A 4,804-nucleotide genomic window follows, 5' to 3' on the forward strand; every position below is an offset into this window, starting at 1 on the left:
AAAGTGCTGGGATTACACACGTGAGCCACTGCTCCTAGCCTGCTCTATAATTTATAACAGCACAAGACTAGAAACAACCCAAATGTCCATTAATAAGGAACTGGTTAAATAGAGTACATCCACACTATGCAGCTGTAAAATAGAAAATGCAGCTGTGAATGTGAGAAAAAAAACTTTATATGCTGCCATAGAGTGGTGTCTAGAATATGCTGCTAAGTGAGAGAAAAGAAAGAAGAAAATGCAAAGCAATGAATAGAGTATTGTATATTATTTGTTATCTAAGAAAGTATTTCCTAGCTCTATCCATTGAAAAACACTAGAAAAACAACCAATGCAATAGCAATGAGTGCTTTTCATAACCAGAATGTGGTCTCTAATGCCACTTTCCACTGAAAGGAACCAGAGTCCTTAAAGAAATGGCTTAATCTATGTTGGGGCAGAAAATGTACAAGGTGAACCTGGAATTATTATTTTTTAATTGAAAGCAAGTTTATTAGGAAAGTAAAGGAATAAAGAATGGCTATTCCATAGGCTGAGCAGCCTGAACCTGAAATTTTTATTTTATTTTATTAGAGATGAGGTTAGGCCGGGCACGGTGGCTCATGCCTGTAATCCTAGCATTTTGGGAGGCCAAGGCAGGCAGATCATGAGGTCAGGAGTTTGAGACCAGCCTGGCCAACGTGGCAAAACCCCCGTCTCTACTAAAAATACAAAAAAATTAGCTAGGAGTGCTGGCAGGAGCCTGTAATCCCGGCTACTTGGGAGGCTGAGGCAAGAGAATCTCTTGAACCCGGAAGTCGGAGGTTGCAGTGAGCCGAGTTTGTGCCACTGCGCTCCAGTCTTGGGCGACAGAGCAGGACTCTGTCTCAAAAAAAAATAAAGGGAGATGAGGTCTTGTTATGTTGCCCCGGCTGGTCTCGTACCCCTGCCCTTAAGGGATCCTCCTTCCTGAGTCACCTAGCTGGGATTATAGGCACAATCCACCAAGCTCCGTCTGAACCAGGAATATTTTATCATACCAGAATGTAAGAAAGCTGTCAGATATTGCTGGAATTATTTCACAAAAACATCAATGCCAAATTGAAAGAGTTCTCATTGCCACAATGAACCATTTGAGTACCAAAAAATCATTATTAAAACAAATTGAAACATTAGCTGTAGTAAAACTCATGTGCAGGTAAAGATACTAAAAAAAATTAGTCACCTTTGGAGACACTTGGGATTCCACCTTATTCTGAAAACAAGGAAATAAAGGGAAAGACTCAATCATTTTCCTGCTTTTCTTATACAAATTATTTCTATTTATTTATTTTTTGAGACAGTGTCTTTCTCTGTTGCCCAAGCTGGAGTGCAGTGGCTTGATCACGGTTTACCACAGCCTCGACCTCCCTGTCTCAAGTGATCCTCCCACCTCAGCTTCCTGAGTAGCAGGGACCATATGTGTGAGCCACCACACTCAACGAATTTTAAAATTTTTTGTAGAGATGGGGTCTCCCTGTTGCCCAGGGTGGTACAAATTATTTTTGGCCAGGCATGGTGGCTCACACCTGTAATCCCAGCACTTGGGGAGGCTGAGGTGGGTGGGTTGCTTGAGCTCAGGAGTTCAAGACCAGCCTGAGCAACATGGTGAAATCGTCTCTACCAAAAATACAAAAAATTAGCTGGGCATAGTGGCCTTTGCCTGCAGTCCCAGCTACTTAGTAGGCTGAGATGGGAGGATCACTTGAACCTGGGAGGCGGAAGTGAGCCGAGATCACCCCACTGCACTCCAGGCTGGGTGACAGAGTGAGACCCCATCTTAGAAAGAAAATTATTATTATTATTTTTTGAGACGGAGTTTTCACTTTTGTTGCCCAGGCTGGAGGGCAATGGTGCAATCTTGGCTCAATGCAACCTCCGCCTCCCAGGTTCAAGCAATTCTCCTGCCTCAGCCTCCCAAGTAGCTGGAATTACAGACATATGCCACCACACTCAGCTATTTTTTTTTTTTAATTTAGTAGAAACAGGGTTTCATCATGTTGGTCAGACTGTTTTCAAACTCCTGACCTCAGGTGATCCACCTGCCTTGGCCTCCCAAAATGCTGGGATTACAGGTGTGATCCACTGCACCTGGCCGAAAACGATTTTTTAGGGTAATCAAATAATTGATCAAGAAACATTCTCCTTTACAGAAGATTACAGACTGAGATTACAGGCATGCCACCACGCCTGGCTAATTTTGTATTTTTAGTAGAGACGGGATTTCTCCATGTTGGTCAGGTTGGTGTTGAACTCCCGACCTCAGGTGATGCGCCCTCCTCGGCTTCCCAAAGTGCTGGGATTACAGGCGTGAGTCACCACACCCGGCCAGGAACATGTTAAATGACAACATGACTCAAGGTAATGTGTAGACCTTGTTTTGATCCTTATTCAAGCAAATCAACTGTAAGAGACAGGGGTATTTGAACTGGGTAATTCATACTATTAGAAATAAATATATCTATTTTGAGATGGAGTCTCACTCTGTCACCCAGGCTGGAGTGCACTGGCTCAATCTCAGCTCACTGCAACCTCCATTTCCTGGGTTCAAGTGATTTTCCTGCCTCAGCTTTCCAAGTAGGGAGAGACAGCTTTAGTAAATATCTTTGTACCTATATAATTATTAATGTCTGAAAGTAGTTTTGTAGAGTATTCTAAGAAATGGATTTGCACAGTAAGTAGAGCAGGCACTTACAAATATATATACAGTACATATAAATGCTTCTTTTCTTTTTTCTTTTTTTTGGTTGGTTGGTTGGTTTTTTTAGAGACAGGCTCTCACTCTGTCACCCAGGCTAGAGAGTAGTGGTGTGAACATGACTCACAGCAGCCTTGACTTTCCAGGCTTAAGATCTTCCCACCTACCTCAGCCTCCTGAGTAGGTGGAACTACAGGCATGTGCTACCACACCCGGCTAATTTTTTCTGTTTGTTTGTAGAAACAGGGTCTCACTATGTTGCCCAGGCTGGTCTTCAACTCCAACCCCTCCTGCTTCAGCCTCCCAAAGTGCTGGGATTACAGGCATGAGCCATTGCACCTGGCATTCACTGTTTACGTAAGCAGGGTCGTATTATATATATATTGTTCTCCAACTTTGCTTTTTTACTTCATGTGGCATAGCTATCTTTCCAGGATATAATATATAGGGGACCACTGTATTCTTTTTAGAAGTTGCACAGTATTCCACAGGATAAACTGATATACCATTTTTTAAATACAAGTTTTATTTTAATCTTCATTTTTTAACACATTTTATCATGGAAATTTTCAAACAAGAACAAAAATAGAAGGAATCCTATGATGAACAACCATATACCCATCACCCAGTTTTAACAATTATCATCATGTAGTCAATCTTATTTCATATATACCTTCCCACTCTCCTTTCTCCTCCCCTTTTGCTGGATTGTTTTTTTTTAAAGTCTCAGATAAGGCCGGGCGCCATGGCTCACGCATGTAAGTCCAGCACTTTGAGAGGCTGAGGCGGGTGGATCACTTCAGGTCAGGAGTTCGAGTCCAGCCTGGCCAACATGGTGAAACCCCATCTCTACTAAAAATACAAAAATTAGCTAGGCGTGGTGGGGGGCGCCTGTAATCCCAGCTACTTGGGAGGCTGAGGCAGGACAATCACTTGAACCCAGGAGGCAAAGGTCACAGTGAGCCAAGATCATAACACTGCACTCCAGCCTGTATGACAGAGCGGGACTTCGGTTTCAAAAAAAAAAAAAATTAAAATAAAAAATAAAACAGTGGCCGGGTGTGGTGACTCACGCCTGTAATCCCAGCACTTTGGGAGGCCAACATGGCGAAACCCTGTTTCTACTAAATATACAACAATTAGCTGGACGCGGTGGCAGGCACCTGTAATCCCAGCTACTTGGGAGGCTGAGGCACGAGAATTGCTGGAACTCAAGAGGCAGAACTCGTGAGTCAGAGATCTTGCCACTGCACTGCAGCCTGGGCAAGAGAGCGAGACCCCGTTTAAAAAAAAAAAAAATGCTGGCTGGGTGCGGTGGCTCACGCCTGAAATCCCAGCACTTTGGAAGGCAGAGACAGGCGGATCACCCGAGGTCAGGAGTTTGAGCCCAGCCTGGAGAACACAGCGAAACCCCATCCCTCCTAAAATACAAAAATTAGTCGGGCGTGGTGGCATGCACCTGTAGTCCTCGCTACTCGGGAGCCCGGGAGGCGGAGGTTGCATCCAGCGGAGATCACGCCACTGCACTCCAGCCTGGACAACACAGCGAGACTCTGTCTCCACACACACACAAAAAAAGGCATAACAAATTTAAGTGACTCAAAGCTTTATGTGACACAGGAGCTCTCAGAAAGGAACAGTTAAATTATAACATGTCCATATTATGCGTTAGTATGTGTCCACAACTAACCCATAATATGGACATGTTATAATTTAACTGTTCATTCCTCTCTTGATAGACACTGAAATCGTCTCTATAATTTTCCTGTAAGAAATAATGCCTTGGGGTGGGGGTGTCTTCCTTTCTGAGGCTATCATTTGTATTCCTCACTTCTTAAATTTGTTTGATATGTTGAGGCTTAAAAAAAAAAGATTACGGGTCTTCAGAACGCCCCAATGCCCGCGGGGTGCTGGGGTGCCTCGGAGTTTGTCAAGGTGTAGCTTAAAACGTTAATTCCCATGCTCGCTCCCAAATATTCGAATTAAGGCTTCTGTAGTTCTTACAAGTCACCCGCTTTCTTTCAGGAGGAATGTTAAAGATTAAGAGCGGCAAGAAGTCAGAGTCGGCCCACCCTCCGAGCTCTCTTA

The 4,804-nt window shown here is 43.8% G+C and overlaps 1 non-coding gene across 1 annotated transcript; it reads right to left on the reverse strand.

The window, feature by feature from the left end:
* On the reverse strand, window positions 4,345-4,449 carry MIR3912 (microRNA 3912). The gene has a single exon (NR_037474.1). It is a non-coding gene; the product is annotated as a microRNA 3912 (primary transcript).

The sequence above is a fragment of the Homo sapiens genome, chromosome 5, assembly GCF_000001405.40.
Source record: "Homo sapiens chromosome 5, GRCh38.p14 Primary Assembly".
NCBI lineage: Eukaryota > Metazoa > Chordata > Mammalia > Primates > Hominidae > Homo > Homo sapiens.